General features: G+C 44.1%; 1 protein-coding gene across 9 annotated transcripts in view, besides 3 other annotated features; it reads left to right on the forward strand.

Annotated features, from left to right (window-relative positions):
* The window catches only part of GCNT2 (glucosaminyl (N-acetyl) transferase 2 (I blood group)), a 108,018-nt gene that overhangs the window by 271 nt on the left and 79,750 nt on the right, over positions 1-27,997 (forward strand). For 5 of the 9 annotated variants that reach the window (XR_926136.3, XR_002956275.2, XM_006715052.4 and 2 more), the window contains exons 2-3: positions 5,853-6,039; positions 7,010-8,215. Coding sequence is in view for 7 of the 9 variants with exons in the window: in XM_006715052.4 (XP_006715115.1) it covers positions 7,291-8,215 (925 nt within the window). In the remaining 2 variants the exon portion in view is untranslated. Of the gene's footprint in view, positions 1-5,852; positions 6,040-6,748; positions 8,216-8,416; positions 8,847-27,997 lie in introns of those variants that run through there. The other 4 variants (XM_047418633.1, XM_005248999.3, XM_011514468.4 and 1 more) reach the window with 3 other exon arrangements.
* Positions 17-76: an enhancer, noted in NCBI's record as "active region_23967". NCBI's record gives its function as "activates an Ori minimal core promoter by ATAC-STARR-seq in GM12878 lymphoblastoid cells {active_cell/tissue: GM12878}" and the evidence as "EXISTENCE:reporter gene assay evidence [ECO:0000049][PMID:35858748]".
* Positions 12,381-12,630: an enhancer, noted in NCBI's record as "active region_23968". NCBI's record gives its function as "activates an Ori minimal core promoter by ATAC-STARR-seq in GM12878 lymphoblastoid cells {active_cell/tissue: GM12878}" and the evidence as "EXISTENCE:reporter gene assay evidence [ECO:0000049][PMID:35858748]".
* Positions 12,751-13,080: an enhancer, noted in NCBI's record as "active region_23969". NCBI's record gives its function as "activates an Ori minimal core promoter by ATAC-STARR-seq in GM12878 lymphoblastoid cells {active_cell/tissue: GM12878}" and the evidence as "EXISTENCE:reporter gene assay evidence [ECO:0000049][PMID:35858748]".

Below are 27,997 nucleotides of genomic sequence, written 5' to 3' on the forward strand. Positions count from 1 at the left end.
GTCATTTGGTCATGAGATTTCTGTTTTCAAAGGTTTTTTTTTTTTCAAAGAATAGCATGTTTGTATGTTGTTTCATTACATGATGGGCCTACTGGGCACGAGGGTTTTCCATCTGTCTCTAAATCATTAGTATCCTTCTGTATCTCAGTTACAACTTTTAACTTTGTAGGAAAGAACAACGTTCACTTCAGACTTAATGGTTTATGTTTCTCAGTTCCTTCAGGCAAGGGAAAATGTTTCCAGAATTTGATAAGGTACTTGGTACTGTCTGGCATTTAAATTTTTTTTTTTTTTTCCAGACATAGTCTCACTCTGTCACCCAGGCGAGAGTACGGTGGTGCGATCTCAGCTTACTGCAACCCCCACCTCCTGGGTCCTGCCTCAGCCTCCTGAGTAGCTGGGACTACAGGCATGCACAACCAAGCCCGGCTAATTTTTGTATCTTTAGTAGAGATGGGGTTTCATCATGTTGGCCAGGCTGGTCTCAAACTCCTGACTCCATGTGATCCACCTGCCTCAGCCTCCTGAAGTGCTGGGATTACAGGCGTGAGCCACCGTCCACAGCCTGAAATGTATTTTATTTAATTAGTTGCTGTGAGGTATGAACATTCCTGTGAGGTATGAACCTCATTTGATAATAGGTAAAATTGAAAATGAAGCTCTGGGCCATGTAGAAAAGTAGTAGATCCATATTGCCATTCTATGAAAACCCATCTTCTGATATTAAAGACAGGTCTACTAAGTAAATTCAGGTTTTGCCAAACTCAAAGCTACTTTTCTGTTTTCCTTATTTTTAAATGTAGGCCTTTGAGAGTCGTCACTTGTAAATAGTCTTTCTGCACCTGGTAGTAGATTGGCCAAATAGAGGGTAGTTACCTGTAGGCTGTGGTTTTCCAGAAGAAATAGGGAGACTGTAATCCCAGGCCCTGGGGACCCTACAGCGTAAAGGATCTGTTTCTTTGCACTCTGTTCTGATTGAACAGCATATTGCAATTATCGGAAGAAGGGAGGCTATATTCTTTCATGTAATTATTCTTAGTGATCAGAAGCTTGAGGTCTCCCTTGTGGAAGTATTCTACCTATGGCAGTAATTTTTGGTTCCTGTAACTTCAAAATCCTATCAAGGACTTTCTGAGCGATAGAGGTCGGGAGGGTAAGAGCAAAACTCCATCCAGAAAGGTGAAAACAACAAACAAAGCCTCGGGCACGGAGATTGGGCTGCTGTTCTAGCTTCTCATAATATCCCATTTATAGAATACACTCAATCCTCAACTCCAGGGTAACTTTCTGCAACAGTAAAATTAGACTTAAAACGAATGAGGTTCTCCAGCTCTGGCTTCTCCCGGAGACCCTGGCTTGGAAAGCCTGGAGTTGTCAGATATCTTTTCATGTGCAAACGCAGGCGGAAAGTGCCTTTAAGGCCTCGACTCCGCCTAGTAACTGAGCTGCTATTTAACTTTGCTCAGTCTTGCATTGCCTCAAAGTTATTTGACTGAGCTTGAAAAGACCAGCTTTCAGCCAGGCGCGGTGTGGCTCATGACTGTAATCCCAGCACTTTGGGAGGCCGAGTCAGGCGGATCACCTGAGATCAGGAGTTCGAGACCAGCCTACCAGCATGGTGAAACCCCATCTCTACTAAAAAGAAAATACAAAAATTAGCCGGGTGTGGTGGCACATGCCTGTAACCCCAGCTGCTCGGGAGGCTGAGGCAGGAGAATTGCTTAAACCCGGGAGGCAGAGGCTTCAGTGAGCCGGGATGGCGTCATTACACTGCAGACGGGGCAACAAGAGCGAAACTCCGTCTCAAAAGAAAAAAAAAAAAAAAAAGACCAGCTTTCTCTTATAGTTTCCTATTACTTTTTTTCCCAGCTATTTTTTGTTAAACGATCACAACCCACTTCATTTCCCCCTCGTAGCCTCTTCTTCCCCACAGCTTTCCATCCAGGTCTGGAATTAGCTCTGACTTCTCTAGAAGCCCTGAGCTGAGCACGTTAGGTGCCCTACCTCCAGAATCCTCCCAGCATGGCCTGGAGATTGCTGTTGTCTTGACTCTAGACTTGAAAAACCAAGGCCGGGCGCTGTGGCTCATGCCTGTAATCCCAGCACTTTGGGAGGCCGGGGTGGGCGGATCACGAGGTCAGGAGATCGAGACCATCCTGGCTAACACGGTGAAACCCCGTCTCTATTAAAAATACAAAAAAATTAGCCGGGCTTGGTGGTGGGCGCCTGTAGTCCCAGCTACTCGGGAGGCTGAGGCAGGAGAATGGCCTGAACCCGGGAGGCGGAGCTTGCAGTGAGCCGAGATCGCGCCACTGCACTCCAGCCTGGGTGACAGAGCGAGACTCTGTCTCAAAAAAAAAAAAAAAAAAAAACCAAGACTAAGAGGTGTGGTGATCTGGCTAGGAAGGAAGCCACAGTTGGGAGTTGGAGGCTCTAAGTAACAGCAGAGCCCCTTACAGCCTGCGAGATCCATGCTGGATCTTGGTTTGTTTTTCAACAAACGGGTGTTGTTTTCTCAAATTCACTCCAAGAGGAAGCTGTGATTATAAATCAAATGACTTATTCAACGGCTCCAAGCCTGTTAAGAGTGGCCTTGGTCCACGGAAACTTTCTGACACATAATCCAGGGCTTTTTTTTTTTTTTTTTAGACGGAGTTTCGCTCTTGTTGCCTGGGCTGGAGTGCGATGGCACGATCTCGGCTCACCGCAACCTTCGCCTCCCGGGGTTCAAGCGATTCTCCTGCCTCAGCCTCCTGAGTAGCTGGAATTAACAGGCATGCGCCACCACGCCCGGCTAATTTTGTATTTTCAGTAGAGACAGGGTTTCTCCATGTTGGTCAGGCTGGTCTCTAACTCAATCCAGGGCTCTTTTTAACCATACTATTTAAGCCCTGTTGCTGGAAGCCTGTGGTTATAACCTATGCTTAAAAAGAAATAGTGATGAGGATAAAGCAGGGTACCGAACTTGTCAAGAGAAAACACATAAATAAGAAAGAGCAGGCAGAGAGGAGGACAGGAAAAGGTTGTCTTTTTGAAAAAGGACAAAATGATACAAAAATTAGCCAGGCATGGTGGTGCATACCTGTAAGCCCAGCTACTTGGGAGGCTGAGGCAGGAGAATCACTTGAACCTGGGAGGCCGAGGTTGCAATGAGCTGAGATTGTGCCGTTGCACTCCAGCCTGAGTCACAAAAGCAAAACTCTGTCCCCCACCCCCCAAAAAAAAGAAAAGGAAAGAAAGAAAAGAAAAAGGACAAAATGTGTTGCCCTTCAGATTAAAAACCAGTTTAATCCAAGCTGTTCTTCCTCTGAGACTGCATCAGGCTTTCACAGACACTGAGAAAGTTTCCATCGGCCCACCCCCCCGGTTTCTAATTTGGGCACACAGGTGATGTCATGGTAAAATGAATATGTGAAAAGTGCTTTGGGCATCATATGGTCCATGAATAATTAAGGTGAGGATGATGGGATTCTTGTCTGTAGAAAGGAACCCCTTTTTTTCTGCTTCTCTTTCTACAGTCAGTTATTGAGATTAAACTCTAAGTGCAGTGTCTTAGTGCAATGAAAATTAGTTTACATCCTGGAGAGTGAGAATTTATAAGAGTATGTGTTATGGAGAAATAAGCAATTAGTGATTGAACATAATATACACCCTGCCAGTTATTGAGCAACCAAACTATAAGTCTTTGCTGGTTCCCAATTTGTTCAGAACTCTTTATTTATCCCACCTGATCAGTGCCTCCGACTTAGAATTGGGGGGTATTAATTTTGATCTGAAATTCAACCTGGGATGAACAATCTCGCGTCCTTTTGGTCACTCCCTGATTACCATCTCCTCCCATTATATCACACAAACGCAAGAGCCTAGAGCCCAGAATTGAGGAGAGTGATTACTGATAGATTGTACAAGGGCATTGGGAAAGCTGGAGGGTCTGGAAGACCAGCGTGTCCCATGTGCCTACCAAAATAAAATGCACCAGCTGGCACTGGGTTGATGAAAAAGGAAATAGGTTCATATTAATTCTTTTTTTAAATGTCTAGCATTGTCAAAGATACTATTTTACAGAATCATAAATATTCCAGAGCTCAAAATCAAGGGACCGTCTTAGCATTACAGGTAAGGTACAAGTAAAGACGTATGAACTTTGCTTGTACTTGCAGCAGAGCACAAAATACAAGTGTTCGTTACCCTGCAACTAAATCCAGTGAGTTGTAAATTCGAAGAGCAGGCAAATAATTCAAGATGCTTCTATGTCTGCAATGTCTGGAGGGATAGAACTAGGCCAAGAATGAGGTAAGAGTCAAACAAACACCTGATGTAATTGTCTGGATAAATTAGGAGAAAATATGGTAAAAATTACTTGACTAGTTTAGATAAGCATAATTCAGCATTGACATTTTCATTTAATCATTCCTATAGTATTTCATTTGATATGGACAGGGTCTAAAGAGACGTTAAAAGTCAACTAAAAATTAGAGAAATTTTAGTCATTTCAGAAAAGATTGATTTTGTATGCGTTCTGTATTGAAGAAGTGATTTGTTCAAAAGAATTCTGGATAGACGCATGAAAGATAGTTAAGAAAATAGATATTTGGGTTGATTAAATTCTATTTTGGGGGCCCTATAGGCACAACTGGGTGTACCTGAGTCACGCTGTAGAATCTGATTCCAGAAGCAACTGAGAACTGACTCACTGTGTTCTAGAGAATTTTCCCTGTGTCCTTTCTTGTCATCATTTCCTGTGTTCCTGACACCGTGAAATGGGGTTGGCTGCCGTCTCAATGTGTTCGCTTTTAGCTGGGTTAGCGGAAAAATCAACAGGAATAACTCCAGGTTCTAAAGTAGTGATTGTGAAGATAATACCCAAGGCACACCAAGAAGCACTATGGAAAATGTTATTGTATAATAGTAAGTGCAGAATGCAGGATTTAAGCTTGCATCTTCCTGCGTTCTTTTTTTTTTATTAGAGATGGGGCCTGGCTGTGTTGCCTAGGCAGGTCTCAAACTCCTGGCCTCGAGCTCCTCCCGCCTTGGCCTCCCAAAAGTGCTGAGATTACAGGCGTGAGCCACTGCACCCAGCCTCCCCTGTGTTCTTGATAAAATAAGAATGTGTATTTCCTATAGGCAAGAGGTAAATGAAAGTACAGGACGTGGAAACATTGTGTTTAGAAACTATCTACGATATTATGTCGTCTTTGTGATTAAGAAAATGAGCCAGGTGCAGTGGCTCACAGCTGTCATCCTAAAGCTTTGGGACCCTGAGGTAGGAGGATAGCTTGAGGAGTTCAAGACCAGCCTGGGCAACACAGTAAGACCCCCATCTCTACAAAAGAGTAAATTAATTAATTAATTACATTTAATAAAAGTTAGAAGATACATTGGAAAAATTAGGTTTATTGACTGTACCACATTCACAGATACAAATATATATCTCCTACAAATCAGTATTACCTGGAATTTCTCACTAATGTGATCAGGGAAGCAGGGAAATGAAAACTTGAGCATTCAATCAATAAATAGTTGATTGTGCGGTGGCTCGCGCCTGTAATCCCAGCACTTTGGGAGGCCGAGGCGGGTGGATCACCTGAGGTCAGGCGTTTGAAACCAGCCTGCTCAAAAATGGTGAAACCCCGTCTCTACTAAAAATACAAAAATTAGCCAGGCATGGTGGCAGGTGTCTGTAATTCCAGCTACTTGGGAGGCTGAGGCAGGAGAATCGCTTGAACCTGGGAGGCAGAGATTTCAGTGAGCCGAGATCGTGCCATTGCACTCCAGCCTGGGCAACGAGAGCGAAACTCCGTTTCAATAAATAAATAAAATAAAATAAAAAGTTGCTTGTCTACTACATACAGACAATGCTAGGAGCCAGAAACATGAGGAATACATGAGCTCGGCGCCAATGGAACATGCTTTCACACCGGGTGCAGCTAACCACCACATCATACAAAACTCGTCGCTGACGTTTTAGATGTATAATCTGATTGGCATGGACTCACAGAGGAGGGAGTAAGGGAAGAGTAAGAAGATTTCAAAGGAGAGGTAATTGTGTCATTTATTAGAAGTATGAGTGTGGGGTAAGAGATACGTGTGTATGCATGCGTGTGTGTGAACGGACTTCTTGTTTAGTACCATTTTGCTGCTGCTTTACCACCCCAATCTGTTCCTGGACACGGCGATGGACTCTGTATATGTTATCTCATTTTATTCTCACAATTGACCTCTGGTGGTAAAATTATTCTCATTTTTTACAGATTAAAAAAAAAGCCTCCTTTAAAGCATTTGTAAATCTGGACATAAGAGCCTCTCTCCTAAAATTCAAGACTGAGATGCTCTTCTCTCCTTCCTCTAAGCATCAGGGTTCTCTGTCTGCATCCTATGCGGACCAGGGCAAAATAAACTTGAAATTCACTATGTTAGCCTGTATGCAATTTTGGGTGATGATGGGCTATTGGTCGTTTTGTTGTTTTAAAAAAAGAAGTTAGCCTTTATTCATCCGAGTGCCACAGTCACTTTGTGCAGTAAGTTAGGTGGTGAGGTAAGCTTGCTAATTAATGGGCATTTTAAAGGACTTTACCCAGCAGCAGACAAAATTAAGCCCTGGAAAGAATTTAGCCCAGTAGCCAGTCATATGCCATGTCGTATAGCATACCCAGCCAATGGGGAGAGCGAGGTGTGGCTGTGGAAAAAGACAGGGTTAAGCAATTTTTTTAAAGCACTACATATTTATTGATAGAATATCTCTCCAGGCAGTATTCACATGCTTTAAACTGAAGCTCGTAGCTTGGCAGTGCAGTTTAAGCAAATAAACTCAGGCTGTTGAACACAATGATTAACAGGAAGCAGGGGAGGGGACATAGTTACTAGACTCTGGCCGGGACAAGAGGCTGAGGTTAAGGTCTTAGAGCCGATGACTTGCAGAATGGTCACCTCACCCACTTGTAATTTCATGGTGGGAACAGGTGGACCCCCTGGAATCAGAACCTCTCTGAGGACATCTGTTTTTGTGTAGACACAGGTTGCAGGTTAGCAGGAGAACAGGCAAGCCAAATGCAAAGGAGCCACTTCAGAAATGTGTCACAGAAAAGTGAAAATGCAACCTAGTGGTAAGTGAAGAGGGGAAGAAGAAAGAAAAAGGACCAGAACCGTGAACTGAAGGGACAGGGAACAGCCAGACGAGAGCTTCAGCCATCACGAGGATGATTTCGGAACCTGGAGAAAATGTAAGTTAAATATATCTACACTCTGATCCTATCTCAAGAGAGAGATATTTTACTCATTTCCTGGTTGTGAATGATGGGCTCTTGGAAGCACTGTCTTTTTAGCGCGTCTCTTATCTCTGCCCTGATTTTTGTATTTGTTTACAATACTGAGTTATGGGAGAATAAACGTTTTCTGAGGGCAGCTCTGTCCAATGCTTCACTGTTAGCAGAAGCCTGTCATCAGATTTTTGAGGGGAAAGTTTTTTACCCAACAGAAAATGCATTGAAAACTACCCTTGATGAAGCTACCTGCTATGAGTACATGGTTCGAAGCCACTATGTAACAGAAACACTCTCTGAAGAAGAGGCTGGGTTCCCTTTAGCTTACACAGTGACCATCCACAAAGACTTCGGCACTTTTGAGAGGCTCTTCAGGGCGATTTATATGCCCCAAAATGTCTACTGTGTGCACCTGGATCAGAAGGCGACGGATGCCTTTAAAGGTGCAGTGAAACAGTTACTCAGCTGCTTCCCAAATGCTTTTCTGGCTTCCAAGAAGGAGTCGGTTGTCTATGGGGGGATCTCCAGGCTCCAGGCTGACCTGAACTGCCTGGAAGACCTTGTGGCCTCTGAAGTTCCCTGGAAGTATGTCATCAACACCTGCGGGCAAGACTTTCCCCTGAAAACCAACAGGGAAATAGTTCAGTATCTGAAGGGATTTAAAGGGAAAAATATCACCCCCGGAGTGCTGCCTCCTGACCACGCTGTTGGACGGACTAAATACGTCCACCAAGAACTGTTAAACCACAAAAATTCCTACGTGATTAAAACAACAAAATTAAAAACTCCTCCTCCTCATGACATGGTGATTTACTTTGGCACGGCCTACGTGGCTCTCACAAGGGACTTTGCTAACTTCGTCCTCCAAGACCAGCTCGCACTTGACTTACTCTCCTGGTCCAAGGACACCTACAGCCCCGACGAACATTTCTGGGTGACACTCAACAGGATTCCCGGTATGTACGTCTCTTAACTTTTATTTTTACGAATAAACACTGCATGGTCAATACTAAATAAGTTGCTTTGAAAAGAGTGGAAAAAATGGGACAAACTTCTTTACGGTTTTAAATGTCAAATTAAAAAAAAAATTTCATCTGTAAAATGGTAAAATGGAGATGTGTTATATCACCCACTCTTGTGAACCGCTCTGTTCACAGGACAAAAGACCGAAGGAACACTGGCCATATAAATAAAAACGTGACCGAGCACAGTGGCTCAAGCCTGTAATCACAGCACTTTGGGAGGCGGAGGCAGGTGGATCACTTGAGGTCAGGAGTTTGAGAGCAGCCTGACCAACATGGTGAAAACCTGTATCTACTAAAAATACTAAAAAAATTAGCCAGGCGTGGTGGTGCATGCCTGCAATCCCAGCTACTGGAGAGGCTGAGGCAGGAGAATCGCTTGAACCCAAGGGGCGGAGGTTGCAATGAGCCAAGATTGTGCCACTGCACTCCAGCCTGGGTGACAGATCGAGACTCCATCTCTAAATAAATAAATAAATAAAATGTAAACCTTATTCTCCTTTAAGCGCAACGCATTTAAAATCAGGAATATGTATTATAAATAAAATTTGAATGACAATTTGAAGATTTCATAATATTTTTGTCTCTGTTGAAGCTCCCATCCTTTTGAAATGGGAGCAAGATACAACTTTCAAATTTTTTATTTGCAAGCTCTTTTCTGGTCTTGAATCAAAAATCTAAAGCATGGCCAGGCATGGTGGCTCACGCCTGTAATCCCAGCGCTTTGGAAGGCTGAGGCAGGAGGATCTCTTGAAGCCAGGAGTTTGAGACCAGCCTGGGCAACATAGTGAGACACTGTCTCTATTTTTTTTCAAGAAGTTAAAACAAACAAACAAACAAAAAAACCTTATTGCACCTTAAAGATTTCTAGGCTGAGCGCAGTGGCTCACACCTGTAATCCCAGCACTTTGGGAGGCTGAAGTGGGCGGATCACAAGGTCAGGAGTTCGAGACCAGCCTGGCCAACATGGTGAAACCCCGTCTCTACTAAAAATACCAAAAATTAGCCAGGCGTGGTGGCGCATGCCTGTAATCCCAGCTTCTCAGAAGGCTGAGGCAGTAGAATCGCTTGAACCCAGGAGGCGGAGGTTGCAGTGAGCCAAGATCACGTCATCGCACTCCAGCGGAGACTCTGTCTCAAAAAAAAAAAAAAAAAGATTTCTAGACTAGTACCTCCATTTTATAGATGAAGAAACTTCAATGTGATTACATGATGTGCTCAAATCCCACAGCTAGTAAGCAAATGCACCAATTATAAACCAGGTCTCCTAAGCCTGATGTTCTTTTTAGGTTGACTTTCAATAAGGTCTCAATTGTTGCTAAATCAATTCCATCTCTCCTTTGGTCCAAGTTCCAAATGATTTTTGAATAATCTCAAGTTGTTTATAGTGAACCAATTTAGTCCTGCTAGTTCAATTCAAAATAAGAATTCATATTTGCAGTTCAAAGGAAAAAGTAACTGGAACCTGTATGAAGATCACAGTCCTGGTTTCTTTGGATTGCTGGTTCAACCCTGGATGCACATTACGATCATCTGGGGCTTCTAAAAATAACTAAGCCAGGGCCTGTTTCCCTCCTTGGGGCAAGACCTAACTATTGATATTTGTACAGCTTCCAAGTGATTCTCATGTACAGCCAGGGGTGTAAACCATTGCAGGTGCTTGTTTTAGATATTGGCATACAAAGCTTCATAGGCTTAGAATTCTCTTTAAGTCTGTGATTTTCTCAGAGCCAGAAGGGGAAGTATAGTGATCAAAAGAAATTAGGGCTCAGGAAAGTCTGGTGGGGAAAGCACAGAGCTGTTTAAATAGAATTGTAGTGTCCAGAGTAAGGGAAGTGAAAGCCTCACTTCTCTCCCATGTGCTTGGAGTAGGATGTAGACTCTTCAGGTCTGGCCACCCTACTATACGGGGAGACATTGACACAGCAGTTCCAAAGAGAGCAGCCAGGGAGGTAAAAAGGCCAATCCCCACTTTTTTTTTTTTTTTTTTTTAGAGAAGACCAAGACAAAGAAAAAGGATAATTGATTTGGAAAAGACTTGAAGAGGGATCGGTGTCTTTACCTAATTAAAAGATTTGCTCAGGAAAGAGAAATTAGACCAACTCTGTCGTTTTGGAAGTAGAATCTAGGGCCAGCGGGTGGGAGATGAGAACACATGGAGCTGGGAATAAAACGGGCAGCTTCCTCAATGGTGAGCAAAGCCAAGGGAAGCAGGGCTGGGGAAGTGCTGCTGAGGAAACCTCAAGGATTGGACCGGATGGCCTCCGAGTCCCTTCCCACTCTCAGAGTCTGTGATCCTAATCAGGGGACTCAACAGAAACTTAAGGGAAACCCCCTGACTTCTCGACTCGATGTATCTATTGGAGCTGGATTTTTACACCCCGTGTTAGCAGTAACAGATTGGCAAAGCAATAGAAAACAAATGCACCAATTCATGTTTTTCAGAAACTTAACAAAAGTTAGCCCCTGAAGTCATTTCTGTGTTATGTGTGTGGAGGAACACTGCCGGAGGACCCTGACCAGCTCTGCCAACTCTTTTTTTTCTTTTTTTGGATCTCACTCTGTCATCCAGGCTGGAGTGCAGTGGCACAATCACGGCTCACGGCCTCAACCTCCCAAAGTGCTGGGATTACAGGTGTGAGCCACACAGCACCCAGCCCGTGCTGGTCTTGACCTCCCAGGCTCAAGCCTTCCAAGAGGCTGGGACTACAGGCATGTGCCCCCATGCCTGGCTAACTTTAACTTTTGTAGAGACGAGGTCCTGCTGTGTTGCCAGTGCTGGTCTTGAACTCCTGGGCCCAAGCGATCCTCCTGCCTCAGCCTCGTGAGCCACCACATCGGGCAAGCCCTGCCAACTCTTTCCTGACCTGAGGCAGGGCTGAATGTAGGAGGTTAGGGAATTAGAAACCTAAGGGTTGTCTTGTTTAATTATTATTCCGGCTATGTGGAGATCTGAGCCATTTTCCGTTGTAAGGGTCCTTCTGGTTGATGTGTATATGTTGTGGTTTTTGCTTTTTTTTTTTTTTTTTTTTGGCAGGTGTGCGAGGGACATTTTGAGATTGTTCCAATTCATTGTCATGATTGAGGGATTATGATTAGGATTCTGTAAAGTAACTAGTCCAGGCCAGGTGTGGTGGCTCACGCCTGTAATCCCAGCACTTTGGGAGGCTGAGCTGGGTGGATCGCCTGAAGTCAGGAGTTCAAGACCAGCCTGGCCAACATGGTGAAACCTATCTCTACTAAAAATACAAAAATTAGCCGGGTGTGGTGGCACGTGCCTGTAATCCCAGCTACTCGGGAGGCTGAAGCAGGAGAATCACTTCAGCCTGGGAGGCGGAGGTTGCAGTGAGCCAAGATCCTGCCACTGCACTCGCGTCTGGGCGACAGAGTGAGACTCCATCTCAGAAATAAAAATTTAAAAAAAAATTAGTCCAGAAAAACATCTCACAGCTGAAGTGGTCTCATGGGAAGGGAGAACAGCACTGCCCAATAGGAATGCTATAATGGGAGCCATAGATCTAAAATCAAATTTTAGATTTTCCAGGAGCCACATTAAAAGAAGTAAAAAGAAGCAGATAATATGAATTTAAAGAATGTATTTTATGCCAGGTGTGGTGGCTCTCGCCTGTAATCCCAGCACTTTGGGGAGCCGAGGTGGGCGGATCACTTGAGGTCAGGAGTTTGAGACCAGCCTGGCCAACATGGTGAAACCCCAACTCTACTAAAAATACAAAAAACTAGCCAGGCGTGGTAGCTTGTGCCTGTAACCCCAGCTACTCGGGAGACTGAAGCAGGAGAATCGCTTCAGCGATTTAGGAGAACCAGGAGGCAGAGGTTGTGGTGAGTTGAGATCATGCCACTGTACTCCAGCCTGGGTGACAGAGCAAGACTCTGTCTCAAAAAAAAAAAAAAAAAAAAAAAAAAGAATGTATTTTATTTAACTCAGTTTGAAACATCACTTTTACTTGTGGCCTGTGGCTGCGACCACAGGCAGGGGAGGTGGACCACGCATCCTCATTGCTGGTGCAGTGGTCAGGCTCTGCCGCCCTAGCAGCACCGAGACGTTGGCCGTCCTCATGTCGCAGAGTCTCCACCTCTGCTGGTTTTGCTTTGCCTGCTTCTACTTTATTTGAAATTCTTGCCTGTGCTTCAGCACTTCCCCTGGTTTATGGGCTCCTCCACCCTGTGGGTTCTACTTCCTATGTCTTCCCCTGGTATCTGCCAGATTCCATGCTGCTCTTTTTTTTTTTTTTTTTTAAGATGGAGTCTCGCTCTGTCACCCAGGCTGGAGTGCAGTGATGTCATCTTGGCTCACTGCAACCTCCTCCTCCTGGGTTCAAGCAATTCTCCTGTCTCAGCCTCCGCAGCACCAGGGATTACAGGTGCATGACACCACGCTTGGCTAATTTTTGCATTTTTAGTAGAGACGGGGTTTCACCATGTTGGCCAGGCTAGTCTTCTGACCTCAGGTGATCCACCTGCCTTGGCCTCCCAAAATGCTGGGATTACAGGCGTGAGCCACTGTGCCTGGCCCATGCTGCTCTCTTGACAGCAAGTGCTCTCTGTGTCCCATTCAGATGTCCCCAGAGAGTCCTGCCTTGGGTCATGCAGCCATTGTATTAAACAATGAGGATCCCCGTTCTCATTCCACACCACCTCTCAGGCTGCGGCTGACGTCTTTGCAGGCAGCTGCCCTTTATGTAGCCCCAAGTTGTCCAATCAGCTGTGACCAGGGTGGCAGGGTCATGTGGTTTAAAAAAGCAAAGCTTGGGTAACACAGATACCTTGTCTCTACAAAAAAAAATCAAAAAATAGTCAGGCGTGGTGGCATGCACTGTAGTCTCAGCTGCTGGAGAAGTTGAGGCAGGAGGATCACTTGAGCCCAGGAGGTCAAGGGCACAGTGAGCTGCAATAGCACCACTACCCTCAGACTGGGCAACAGAGTGAGACTCTGTCTCAAAAAATGGATAAATAAATAAGCAAGCAAAACAAAACATGGGTCCGGGCACAGTGGCTCACGCCTGTAATCCCAGCTCTTTGGGAAGCTGAGGTGGGCGGATCACCTGAGGTCAGAAGTTTGAGGCTAGCCTGGCCAACATGATGAAACCCCGTTTCTACTAAAAATGCAAAAATTAACCGGGTGTGGTGGTGCATGCCTGTAACCCCAGCTACTCAGGAGGCTGAGGCAGGAGAATCGCTTGAACCTGGGAGGCGGAGGTTGCAATGAGCCGAGATCGCGCCACTGCACTTCAGCCTGGGTGACAGAGCGAGACTCCATCTCAAAAACAAAAACAGACAAAAACATGGTCCATCCAGCAGGTCCTCTGGAGGCCTCTCAGAGGATAAGACTCTCTGCATGGCCTGCTCAGGTGAAGGTGCCCATGAGGAGAACAGTGTTACAGAAAGGGGGTTCACATATGGCTTTAAAGATGTCCAAGAAGCCTCACTAGCTGTTATGAAATTAGGGCTTCCTGCCCTCCCTTTTTCCTCTCCCCACTTCCGTCTTTTACCCTTAATCTGGTCCACAACAAGATGGCATGCCTTTTAGTTTCTTGTGTGATTCAGCTGTGGATGATTTCCATTTATAAGCCCAAGATGCAAGTTCATCCACCTCCCACTTTCCTCCTGAGTTATTATTGATCCTCTGGGTTGGATGGCTCTGCCTGTAATAGGGACATTCAGTGAGTTTATTCCATTGGTCATGTGTGCCTTGAATTTTACACATTTCAAAACTGACCAGTGATTTCTGTTTCACTTGCTACAAAGGAGTATTTTGAATATAACTCCATGGGAGTTTGTTTCAAACTCACATTAAAATAGGAATGAATGCAAAAACAGCCTTTCCTGGGAGCAGGCTTTGTGGGCGGTGGGAGGAAGGAGTGCCAAGGTGTCCAAAGGGGAAGGAATAGAGAAAGGAAGATACCTGGTGGGTGATTGAGGGCCCGAAAGACAGACCCTCCCTGCTTCCAATTTGTTTTTCCCCTGGAGCCAGCCTGCGGACTAGCCCTATTGGATATTCCATGGCAGGCATCTTCCCCTGAACCCTAAATGTGGGTGGCTCATTGTATTTCTATTTCCTGTAGAGTCCATACTGGCCTTACTCTTTGTCACTGTTTGAGGCTGATATATCCCGTTAGTTCCTCTATATGTAAAAATGCAATGCTGAGGTTCCAGGTGCCGAGACCTTGAGAGATGCAAATTTGGGAGCAGAGAAGGGCAGATCCGAATCAAGGTGGTCTTGGGAACTCATCCTTGAGCCCCAGGGATGTGGCTGGGATCTTACTGTGTGCAGAGGGAATTGATATTCCCCAAACCAATCGAGCACACAGAGCTTCTGAGATGCTAGGCGAATGGACAGACTTGAAGGGGAGGAAGATTTGGGGATTTTTACTATTAGCTCCGCTTAAGCAATCTCTGTTTTTTTATATCTGCCAGAAATATCGGTTTTTGTCAACTTCTTCTTTTTTTTTTTTGAGACAGTCTTGCTCTGTTGCCCAGGCTGGAGTGCAGTGGCGTGATCTCAGCTCACTGCAAGTTCTCCTCCCGGGTTCACGCCATTCTCCTGCCTCAGCCTCCCGAGTAGCTGGGACTACAGGCGCCCACCACTGTGCCCGGCTAATTTTTTGTATATTTAGTAGAGACGGGGTTTCACCATGTTGGCCAGGATGGTGTTGATCTCTTGACCTCGTGATCCACCCACCTCAGCCTCCAAAAGTGTTGGGATTATAGGCGTGAGCTACCGTGCCCGGTCTCTTGTCAACTTCTAGAAAAGGAAATCAGAGAGTTGGGACACCTGTGAGTTCCTTTTTTTTTTTTTTTGAGATGGAGTCTCACTCTGTCACCCAGGCTGGAGTACAGTGGCGCAATCTCGGCTCACTGCAACCTCCGTTTCCTGGGTTCAAGTAATTCTCCTGCCTCAGCCTCCCGAGTACCTGGGACTACAACCTCTGCTTCCCGGGTTCAGGCGATTCTACTACCTCAGCCTCCTGAGTAGCTGGGACTACAGGCGCCCGCCACCACGCCTGGCTAATTTTTGCCTCTTTAGTAGAGATGGGGTTTCACCATGTTGGCCAGGCTGGTCTCGAACTCCTGACCTGGTGGTCTGCCCACCTCAGCTTCCCAAAGTGCTGGGATTACAGGTGTGAGCCACCACTCTCGGCCACCTGTGAGTTCTTCTCAGGGAAACAGTTTCTTAGGAAGGTGGTAAATGGCCTGACAGACTTCATTTTTTAAATAGGTAGATTATCAAGAAAACAATGGCATTAATCACTTCCCTAGAAGAAGAAAGGAAGAGTTTAATCTGCAAGTGATCTTATCTTTGCTAACCATTGTCTTCCCTCTTCACTGATCACTGAGTTTGTTCTTCGGGCATTCTGTGGCTCACACTCTATCCTTACTTTCTTCTTCCTCCTTCCCAGCTAAGTTAGACTACAGATGCTCTTCGACTTACAGCGGGGTTACATCCCAAGAAACTCATCGCAAGTGGAAAATACCATAAATCAAAAATGCATTTAATGGCCACGTGGGGTGGCTAACGCCTGTAATCCCAGCACTTTGGGAGGCCGAGGCAGGTGGATCACTAGAGGTCAGAAGTTTGAGACCATCCTGGCCAACATGGTGAAACCCTGTCTCTACTAAAAATACAAAAATTAGCCGGGCGTGGTGGCGGGCACCTGTAATCCCAGCTATTTGGGAGGCTGAAGCAGGGGAATCGCTTAAACCCGGGAGGCGGAGGTTGCAGTGAGCCGAGATTGTGCCACTGCACTCCAACCTGGGCAAGAGGGAGATTCTGCCGCAAAAAAAAAAAAAAAAAAAAAAAAAAAACAAAACAAAGAAAACGAAAGAAAATGCATTTAATGTACCTAATCTACCAAATATCCTAGCTTAGCCTAGCCTCCCTTAAACATGCTCAGAACACTTACATTGTTAGCCTACCGATGGGCAAAATCATCTTACACAAAGCCTATTTTATAATAAAGTGGTGTCTATGTCATGTGATTTCTTGAATACAGTGCACTATAGAGTACAGTCTCAGTTGTTTACCCTCATGATCTCATAGCTGACCGGGAGCTGGGGTGGCCTGCCACTGCTAGCATCATGAGAGAGTATCCTACCGCACCTCGTTAGCCTGGGAAAAGACCAACATTCAAAAGTCAAAATATGGTTTCTACTTAAATGCTCATGGCTTTCACACATCATAAGGTAAAAAAAATTATAAGTTGAGGCCAGGCGCAGTGGCTCACGCATGTAATCCTAGCACTTTGGGCAGCTGAGGTGGGCAGATCACCTGAGGTCAGCAGTTCGAGACCAGCCTGGCCAACGTGATGAAACCCCGTCTCTACTAAAAAGGCAAAAATTAGCCAGGCATGGTGGTGCACGCCTGTAATCCCAGCTACTCGGGAGGCTGAGGCAGGAGAATCGCTTGAACCTGGGATGCAGAGGTTGCAGTGAGCTGAGATCGCACCATTGCACTCTGGCCTGGGCGACAAGAGTGAGACTCCGTCTCAAAAAAAAAAAAAAAAAAAAAAAAAAAAAATATATATATATATATATATGTTGAACTCTCATAAGTCAGGGACCGTCTGTATTCTTTCCTGAATTTATACCCATGACACCTTAAATATAAACCCTGATAGATCTCATGGCATCTATGTTTTGTTATGGAATAACAGGCTTAGTTGCTGAAAGTCATAAAGTGACACAGCACAACTGAGGACTGCTAATGATTTTGACTTTTTTTTGAGTTTATAAAAAGATTGTAATTTCCCCAGATCAGAAATTGCCCCAATATGTAGTTTAATTGATTTGTATGCATTTTATGTATCCATATATATTACCATCAAAAATGGCTTACATAATAATGATAATGTATATAAATAGTTTTGCTTTGCCAATTATACCATCTTCTGGGATCTCAGAGGAATAACCAGAGACATGACCCTGTTTTAATATTCTGTTGCTCCTTTAGGTAGCAATTTCCTTTTTAAAACCAAAAAATAATGTTTCTTCCTATGGGGACCTATCTTAATTTTATACTGAGGAAGCTAAAAGTAGTTTGATGAGAAAGAAAAAAATAAGGGTTGGGCCCAGCTGGAGTATAGTCAGATGACATCAATTAGAATGCATTTAAGATTTAAGTGGACTGGTGAATGGTTTGGAAAAATAGTCTAAAGATTTGTTTACTCTCTATTAGAGTTGGAGAGTAGCTCACACTCACTGGTGGGGTTTAGAAACAAACAGGCCTGAGTTTAAAGCCTATCTCTACAGCTCACCGTCTCTTTTTTTTTTTTTTTTTTTTTTTTTTGAGGCAGAGTTTCACCCTTGTTGCCCAGGCTGGAGTGCAGTGGTGCGATCTCGGCCCACTGCAACCTCTGCCTCCTGGGTTCAAGCGATTCCCCTGCCTCAGCCTCCCGAGTTGCTGGGATTACAGGTATGCACTACCACGCCTGGCAAATTTTGTATTTTTAGTAGAGACGGGGTTTCTCCATGTTGGTCAGGCTGGTCTCGAACTCCTGACCTCAGGCGATCCGCCCACCTCAGCCTCCCAAAGTGCTGGAATTACAGACGTGAGCCACTGCGCCCGGCCCCGCCATCTCTTTAACTTTGGGCAAATGCCTCATTTCACTGAGCCTGATTCTTCATCTATATCCTGGGGATAAAATATCTCTTTGTAGGACTGTTGAAGGATTAGAGAGTACACAAACTATACCTGGCACATCATAGAAACTCATTAAATGGAGAGAGAGAGAGAAAACAGATGAACTTCTCAGGTGTTGATTTTTGAGGTTTTAATGTTACGATTCTAAAAATTCTATGTGCAACTAAAACAAAAAACAAAACCTTCTAACATTTGGTTTTGAAAGCATAAGGTCTAATTTTTGGTTAGAAATCAGGTATGTGAGGCCGGGCATGATGGCTCATGCCTGTAATCCCAACACTGGGAGGCCAAGGCAGGAGGATCAGAGGATTGCTTGAGACCAGCCTAGGCAACATAGTGAAATTCCATCTCTACAAAAAATACAAAAGTTAACCGGGCTTGGAGGCGCGTGCCGGTAGTCCCAGCTACTTGGGAGGCTGAAGCAGGAGGATCGCTTGAGCACGGGAGGTCGGGGCTACAGTGAGGGGTGGTCGTGACATTGCACTCCAGTCTTGGTGACAGAGTGAGACCCCATCTCAAAAAAAAAGGAAGGAAAGGAAGGAAGGAAAAGGAAGAAAGTAAAGGATGGAAGGAAGGAAGGAAGAGAGGGAGAGAGGAAGGGAGGAATAAATTAGGTATGTGGCTGAAGAGGTTCCCTAGGGTATAGTTCTTCTTAGCAATGTCACCTGTCTGTAGTCTTGTACCAGGAAGTAGCATTCTGTGACTAAAGCCTCCTACCTCTCCAGGCTTCTCACTTTAGACTTGTCTGAAGCCAAATGGCCTCCACAACCTGTTCATGCTGTCTTTTTGTTCTGGAATACTCTTTATCTTTGCTGCTCATTCTCCTCTGTTCAAGATCCAGTTGAAAAGTCACGGCCTCAGCTGCTTTACACTCCTGCAGAAGCAGCTCCCCTGCCCCACCTTATCCACACTTCTCTTGCAGCACCTCTTCCATTGCATCTTAACAATTTGTGTAGATCTCAGTTCCCTCTATGCCCGGGCCCTGCCCACCCCCAACCACCAGCACACCAAATGTGAGCAGGCAACCTAATGATTGGCCCAGGACCTAGACTTTTATCCAGCTTCATCACTGAGTGGGCTTCCAATATCACTTTGCATGAGGAACGGAGAAATGGAAGAGAAATCGTCTGCATGTCTAATAAGATGTTCTCTACAAGTGGAGAAAATTCCCCTTCAGCATTACAGGAAGTTTATTTTCTGATTTTTCAATTCTAGCTCAGCTTTTAAGCAGTCCACAGGGTGGGATTCCTAAATCTAAACCCCAACTCCCCCATCACTTCCACCAACTTTTTCAAAGGACAAACATCCTTTGCTGCCACCTGTGCTAAATCCATTAGAAAACACTCTTGGGAGTGTGGTCTGCCTTTGGGAGTTCTTAGTCATCTGATTGCTAGGGTCAGTATCAATTACCCTCCATCCGTTTTGAGGACTGAATTTGTATATTGTTTTTGTTTTCTTTCTATTTTAAGTTCGGGTACGTGTGCAGGATGTGCAGGTTTGTTACATAGGTAAACGTGTGCCACAGTGGTTTACCCGCACAGATCATCCCATCACCTACGTATTAAGCCCAGCGTCTCTATTAGCTCTTCTTCCTGATGCTTTCCCTCTGCCAACGCCCCCCACCAGCCCCAGTATGTGTTGTTCCCTTGCATGTGTCCATAAGTTCTCATCAATCAGCTCCCACGTATGAGAACATGCGGTGTTTGGGTATTCTGTCTCTGCGTTACTTTGCTGAGAATAATGTCTTCCAACTCTATCCATGTCCCTGCAAAGGACATGATCTCGTTCCTTTTTATGGCTGCATAATATTCTATGGCGTATATATACGACATTTTCTTTATCCAGTCTATCACTGATGGGCATTTAGGTTGATTTCATGTCTTTGCTATTGTGAATAGTGCTGCAGTGAACATACGCGTGCATGTATCTTTATGACAGAATGATTTATATTCCTTTGGATCTATGGGATCGCTGGGTCAAATTCCTATACGTTTTAGTTCAGGTCTAGAAAAGTAAAATCATTAATTAAGGGAAGTTAGCAGAGTTATTTTGGCCCTGAGAGGCTGTGATTTAAAATATTCAGAAAATGTAGTTGAAGTAGTTGATTTGGCTTCAACTTGAATTCCCTATGTAATTGCAGGGAATTCAAGGGACTCTGAATTCAATTCAGGGAATTCAAACAGACCTCTTTGCCTTTGAGCTAGTTTTCCCCCTAGGCTTTTCTTAGCCTGCAAAAATCCTGGTTATCTTTGAGGACCCAGTTGAGTTGGTCTTGCTCCTAAATCATTGACAAGCCCCTACCCTCAGGCAGAGCAGTTTGTCCTTTGTGCTCCAAATACTTTTTGTTGTCACTGTAGTTAGGGTTTGCGGTTTAATCATCTATTGCTGCTGCCAGAAAGCAGAATCTTGGAGGGTAGGGAGCTTTATATCTTTGCGAGCCTCAACCAACACAAAGCTTGGCGTCAGATTGAATTCAAATTCACCTTACGTTGCTAGTATGAAACCAATTGTGTTGTTGCTTTCATACAAATCCAGCAGTTTTCTGCTAATGAGACCTGCAATGTAAAATTTAAAAAGAAAAAAGAAAAAATATCCAACAGGTTTCTACCGTCCAAGTCACTGATAGAATCTACAACAGATCGACAGAGTTACAGCTGTTTCCTGCCCCAGTTTTAGGCACCATAAAGATTTTCTAGAAGGCTTGCCAATCATCATCATCCTGTAAGTTCTTACACTGCTACGCACTAAACTAATTGCCTTTCCCCCTCTTAAAGGTAACAGGTTTATTGAGGTATAATTTACATAGGGTGAAATTTATGACATATAATTTACATACCATAAAACTCACCCACTTTTGTGTACAATGTAATGATTTTTAGTGCCTTTACAGTTATGCAACCATGATCCCCGGCTAATGTAGAATCATTTTATTACTACACAAAGAAACCTCATGACCACTTCCCATTTCCACACCCAACCCCTGCTTTTCTGGCTCTATGGATTTGCCTTTTCTGGACATTTCATATTAACCAAATCATACTATATGTGTTCTTTCATGCGTAGCTCCTTTTACTTATTGCCATGTTTTTAAGGTTCATCCGTGTTATCGCGTGAATCAGTACTTCACTTTTTATAGGAATGGATGCTGTTCCATTATATGGATACACCACGTTTATTTTTTCATCCATTGATGGACATTTGGGTTGCTTCTACTTTTGGCTTGTGTGAAGAATGTTGCTATGAACATTCCTGAACAAGTCACTATGGGGACACATGTTTTCATTTCTCCTGGGTAGATACCAAGAGTGAAACTGCTGGTCCCTATGTTAATTCTTTTTTTTTTTTTTTTTTTTTTTTTAATTTTGAGACGGAGTTTCACTCTTGTTGCCCAGGCTGGAGTGCAATGCCATGATCTCGGCTCACTGCAACCTCCACCTCCCGGGTTCAAGCGATTCTCCTACCTCAGCCTCCCAAGTAGCTGGGATTACAGGCATGCGCCACCACACCCGGCTAATTTTTATATTTTTAGTAGAGACGGGGTTTCACCATGTTGGCTAGGCTGGTCTCAAACGCCTGACCTCAAGTAATCCACCAGCCTCGGCCTCCCAAAGTGCTAGGATTACAGGAGTGAGCCACCACGCCCGGCCCTTTTTTTTAAATTGAGACAGAGTCTCGCTCTGTCGCCCAGGCTGAAGTTCGGTGGCTCCATCTCAGCTCACTGCAACCTCTGCAATTCTCGTGCCTCAGCCTCCCAAGTAGCTGGGACTACGGGAGCACACCACCACACCCAGCTAACTTGTTTGTATTTTTAGTAGAGACAGGGTTTCACCATGTTGTTCAGGTTGGTCTCAAACTCCTTACCTCAAATGATCCACCTGCCTCGGCCTCCCAAAGTTCTGGGATTACAGGCGTGAACCACTGTACCTAGCCCCCAATGTTAATTCTATGTTTAACATTTTGAGGACCTGCCAAACTGGTTTCCAATGGATTGCAACATCTTGCATGCCCACCATCAGTGTATGAGGGTTCCAATTTTTTCATATCCTTGTTATTGTCTATCTTTTTTAGTTTAGCCCTTCTAGTGAGTGTGAAGTGGTATCCTCTTATAGTTCTGATTAGCATGTCCCTAATTAACAATGATGTTGGGCATCATGTACTTGTTGGCCTTTGATATATCTTCTTAGAAGAGGACTAAGTGCCCTTTGGACGTTATTTCTTTGAATTAAGATTGTTGCAATCACTGAGGACACTGAGATATGGAGTCTGTATTACTTGCCCAAGGACGCCCAGCTAGTAAGTGTCAGTGTCAAGATGATTACATTTGAATTTAAAATGGAGTCGATTAGGAGATGAAATTGTCTGACATTGAATTAAGGACACACTATATGGACAAAATGTTAGTTTAGGTCTGTAACTCCTAAATCCTGTGACCAAGAAAATAGCTAAGACTCATTTAAAAAATAAATAAATGGGCCAGGCCTGGTGGCTCACGCCTGTAATCCCAGAACTTTGGGAGGCCGAGATGGGCGGATCACCTGAGATCAGGAGTTCGAGACCAGCCTGGCCAATATGGCGAAACCCCGTCTCTAGTAAAAATACAAAAATTAGCCGGGCGTGGTGGTGTGCGCCTGTAATCCCAGCTACTTGGGAGGCTGAGACAGGAGAATTGCATGAACCCAGGAGGCGGAGGTTGCAGTGAGCCGAGATCACATCACTGCATTCCAGCCTGGGCGACAGCAAGACTCTGTCTCAAAAAGTAAAATAGGCAACACGGTGGCTCACGCCTGTAATCCCAGCACTTTGGGAGGCTGAGGCAGGTGGATCACGAGGTCAGGAGTTCAAGACCAGTCTGGCTAACTTGGTGAAACCCCATCTCTACTAAAAACGCAAAAAAATTAGCAGGGCGTGGTGGCAGGTGCCTATAATCCCAGCTACTCGGGAGGCTGAGGCAGAGAATTGCTTGAACCCAGGAGGCGGAGGTTGCAGTGAGCCGAGATCACCACACTGCACTCCAGCCTGGGTGACAGAGCAAGACTCCATCTCAAAAATAAATACATAAAATAAAATAAAATATTAAATAAATAAATAAATAAATAAATGGGGCCGGGCATGATGGCTCATGCCTGTAATAGCAGCATTTTGGGATGTGGAGGTGGGCAGATCACCTGAGATCAGGAGTTCGAGACCAGCCTGGCCAACGTGGTGAAACCCCATCTCCACTAAAAATACAAAAAATTAGCTGGGCGTGGTGGCAGGCACCTGTAATCTGAGCTACTCGGGAGGCTGAGGCAGGAGAATCACTGGAAACCGGGAGGCAGAGGTTGCAGTGAGCTGAGATTGTGCCACTGCACCCCAGCCTTGGCAACAGAGCAAAAACTCTGTCTCAAATAAATAAATAAATAAATAAATAAATAAATAAATGAGGTGGTCAGAGAGCTGCTGGGAAAATAAATAAAGCAATTTAATTTAATCCTAATATGTAGTTACTATGATTAGATTCCTTTTCTGCGATTTTATGTAAACCATCATTCCTCTTTTTAAGAATCAAGTGGGTACAGCCCCCCAGCCCCCTCCTTTCTAATAAAACTGTATCTTCTCTTTCTAGTCTATATCCTTTTCCTCCCAGCTCTTGCACGGTGAGCTGAAGGGTTCGTGCTGAAGTCCTAGTTGGTGCCTTTGCTTTTACTTTTTTGGCTTTTTCCATTTTGCAAGAGCTGTGCCTTGGCTGTGATCTCCATTTTTGTGGGTGCTCATTGGTCTGCGCTATCGACATTTGACCACCTAGAAACTTTGGAGTTTTGTTTAAATCCACATCAAGCCAGCTCAAACTTCCTTAGTGATTTTTGCTGCTTTAAATACTACCTTTTGTGTTCCTGAGCTTGACAAACTTAGGACAGTTTCTGACAGGGTTTCATGTTCTTTTGTTTTTACCTCGAAGGATTCATAACTGTGTCTCTTTCTAGTATTCTCCTTATTAGGAATAAAGCGAACTTCAAATTCCTATGATCGTTGCAATCCTAACCTCCTTCGTGCCTTGTGAAAAATCATAACAGTTTTCATGAAGGGTAAATCAGTCACCCTTGTAGAATTTTCCATTCAAATCCTGAGCCATGTGAAGCTGTTTTTAGCTGCTTTCCTGAGTTTAGTCCTGGTCTGGGAGACTCAAGTGTCTTCAGCTTTGTGAATCAGGCAAAAGCCAGCAGTGGAGGAGGGTGTAAGACTTCCTTGCTTTTCAGCTCCCAGGCAATACAAGGGATGGTTAAGATGGCAGGGTAAATGAAATTAAAGAAAAGGCAAGGTTAAGAAATAAAATCAGTTACAATGGATAGGTCACTGTTGACAAGATGTGGGGCCTGAAAGTAGAAACCTGGAGTTGTTCCAAAGGTTGCAGGGTCTAGTTCCAAGGGCAGCTAGAAATGACTTGATCTTTTCCCCATGTGTAATATTTTCCCGATGTGTGTTTTTAGCTTCTTAAACTGATTCCTGTAACGGCAGCCTCTTTTGCTGTTCTTTATGCCTCACTGCTGAGCTTCCCTGCCATGTCTGTGCATGCTGACTTGCTGGGAATGGGTTACAGATGGGCTACACGTTGATCTCAGCAGCATATACGGCAGGCAAAACCCAGGACAGTTGAAGCCGTTTGGCCAGATACCTCTGGCTGAGAGCAGCTTTGTCCATTTTATCTACAGGTTTCAGACAAATGCAGTTGACCAGTGCCAACAATGTGGCGGTTAGGCCCACTGAACCCCTGTGTAGCCAAAAACCTATGTATAGCTTTTGACTCCCCTAAAACTCAACTACTAAAAACCTACTGTTGTCCAGGCACGGTGGCTGATGACTGTAATCCCAGCACTTTGGGAAGCCGAGGTGGGCGGATCATGAGGTCAGGAGTTCGAGACCAGCCTGGCCAATATGGTGAAACCCTGTCTCTACTAAAAATACAAAAAAATTAGCCAGGCGTGGTGGCAGGTGCTTGTAATCCCAGCTACTCAGGAGGCTGAGGCAGGATAATTGCTTGAACCCAGGGGGCGGAGGTTGCAGTGAGCCAAGATCTCGCCATTGTACTCTAGCCTGGGTGACAGGGTGAGACTCCGTTTAAAAGAAAAGAAAAGAAAATATTACTCTTTGAAGATCTATAAAATATTTAAAGATCTCAGTGAGTTTTCAACCTTTTATTTTATTTATTATATTTTAAAGCTGATTTTTATGAAAGCAGTATATCCTTATTTTAAAAATGTAAACAGTACACAAAAGATTAAGAAAAATAAAACATGTCCATACTTCTTCATCCTTCTCTGTATTACATCTTTTTCCAGAGATAACATTAATAATATGTTGGTAATCTATGGCACACCCATCTGTATATAAAAATATACTTTATGGAATCATTACACTTTTTTTCTTTTATGGTTCATGATTTTATGTCCTACCTTAAGAAATTATTGCCATCCTGAGATCACAAAGATTTCCTTTGACCTTTTATTTTAAACTAGTTCAAACTTACTATACTTAACAAGAATAGTATAAAGAGCTCCCGTATACCTTTTATCCATATTTCCCAACCCATAATATTTTGTACACTTGCCTAATCATATCTGCTCTCTCTCTTATTCATATATTTTTCTTAAACTATTTGCAAGTTATCCCTTAATATTTCAAAGCATATTTCCTAGCAACAAAGACACCCACCCCCATGTAACCACAGTACAACTATCAAGTGATAAGTAGCATTACTATTTAATCCACAGACCCTATTCCAGTGTGCATGGTTATACTCATTATGTCCTTCATGAATCTGGGATCTGATCAAGAATCTTAAGCTAAACTTTGGCCATCATATCTCTTTAGTCCCCTCCAGTTTGGAACAATTTCTCAGTCTGTCTTTGTCTTCCAAGATCTCATTTTTGAAGAGTGCAGCTCTGATGATTTCTCATGATTAAATTTAGGTTATACCTTTTGGGCAAAGATATGGTGGAAATAATGCTGTAGAGCCTTATAATGATGATGACTTTTTATCACTTGGCTAAGATAGTGCCTGCCACATTTCTCCAGTGAAAAGCTAGGAAGTGTTTTTATTTATTACTAAGTAGATATCCTGTTTATCAAACAATCACTCTCCAGTTTTGCCATTCATTGGATCTTGCCTGACTCAGTTTTTACTGTGATCGTTACCAAATCATGAATTTTAAATAAAATTCATCCTTCTTCTGTGTTTATTAGTTGACATTCAACTATTAGGTAGAGCCATCCCTTCTCCTGTGTGTTGGCTTATTTATTTATATCTCTGGGGACTTAGATTTATATTTATTCAATGGGTTATAATCCATTATTCTTTTTACTTACTTTACTGCTCAAATTGTCCCAGACTTGGCCAGTGAAAGCCTGTTCAAGCTGGCTTGTGTGTTCTTTCAACAAGTCCCAGTGATTCTTTTTGGCACAGGAGATGTTCCAAGCTAATCCTGCACTTAACCTGCCCCAGTCTTGCAATCAGCCATTCTTTCCAAGAAGGAAGCCCTGGTTCTACTGAATAGAGAATGGTATTTAAAGATCAAAATCTGGGAAGCTGAAACAGGAGGATCACTTGAGCCTAGGAGTTTGAGGCTGCAGTTAGCTAAGATCTTGCCACTGCACTCCATGCACTCCAGCCTGGGCAACAGAATGAGACCCTATCTCTAAAAAAGTTAAAAATAAATAAATGAAAGTGAACACCACAGTTCTCCTTAGGTCAAAGGATTTTTCTGTGAAGCAGATCTGGGCACTGACACCAAGATATTCCTGGGCCTCCCAGAAAGGGCACCACAAAAGGCTGCTGCAACAAGAGCAAGAGCTTGGGAACAAAGCCGTTCACATTCAGGTCTTGGGTCAGCCATTGCTACCTGAGTGATTAGGGGCAAACACCAGTGACCTTCTGAGTGTAGCACCTAATGCCAGCTATCAGCGTCATCACTCATACTTTCCTGGTACCCTCTTATTACCATCCACTCCACTTGCCAGGGCAGCCCCCTCCCACTCCTGGTATAATCTAGATATATAAAATCTTGTTTTTGTACTTCATATAAGTGGAAATATACAGCATATGTTATTTTTTCTATCTGGCTTGCTTTTGTTCAACATTATGTTTGTGAGATTCACCGTTTTGTTGCAGGCAGTTGTATTTCATTCATTCTCATTGTTGCATAGAGAGAAGAACCCATATTTGGAGACCTTTTTTTTTTTTTGAGACGAAGTCTCGCTGTCACCCAGACTGGAGTGCAATGGCGTGATCTCAGTTCACTTGCAACCTCCACCTCCTGGGTTCAAGCAGTTCTCTGCCTCAGCCTCCCAAGTAGCTCGGATTACAGGCGCATGCCACCACACCCGGCTAATTTTTGTATTTTTAGGAGAGACGGGGTTTCACCACGTTGGACAGGCTGGTCTTGAACTCCTGACCTCGTGATCCACACGCCTTGGCCTTCTAAAGTGCTGGGATTGCAGGAGTGTGCCACCGCGCCCAGCGTGAAGACATTTTTGGTTGTCAGAGGTTGAGGGAGGGAAGCAAAAGGTGCTACTGGCATTAGTGGGTAGAGGCCAGGGGTGCCCCTCAGCATCCTACAATGCACAGGGCAGCACATCCTACAACACACAGCCCTCACAACACGGCATTTTTCAGCCCAAAATGCCAATAGTGCCCACGCTGAGAAACCCTGCTCTATAGTAACTGTTGGTGGGCATTTGAGTAGTCCCCAGTTTGGCTCTATTATGAATATGGCTGCAGCGAATCTTGACTTAGATATCTTTTGATGAATATATTTCATTTCTGTTGAGTAAATACTGGAGAATGGAATTTTGGGTCATAGGATATAGGTATGCTCAACTTTAGTAGACATTGTATTGTTGGTTTTTCAAAGTTGTCATACCAATTCACACTTCTCCATCAGGGCATGAGGGTTGCTGTTGCTCCATATCTTCACGAATTGAATTGGTATTTTCTGCCTTACTTCCTTTCTCTCTCAATCTCTCTCTCTTTTTTTTTTTTTTTTTTTTTTTTTTGAGACAGGGTCTCGCTCTGTCACCCAGGT

The sequence above is a fragment of the Homo sapiens genome, chromosome 6 (genome assembly GCF_000001405.40).
Source record: "Homo sapiens chromosome 6, GRCh38.p14 Primary Assembly".
Classification (NCBI taxonomy): Eukaryota; Metazoa; Chordata; class Mammalia; order Primates; family Hominidae; genus Homo; species Homo sapiens.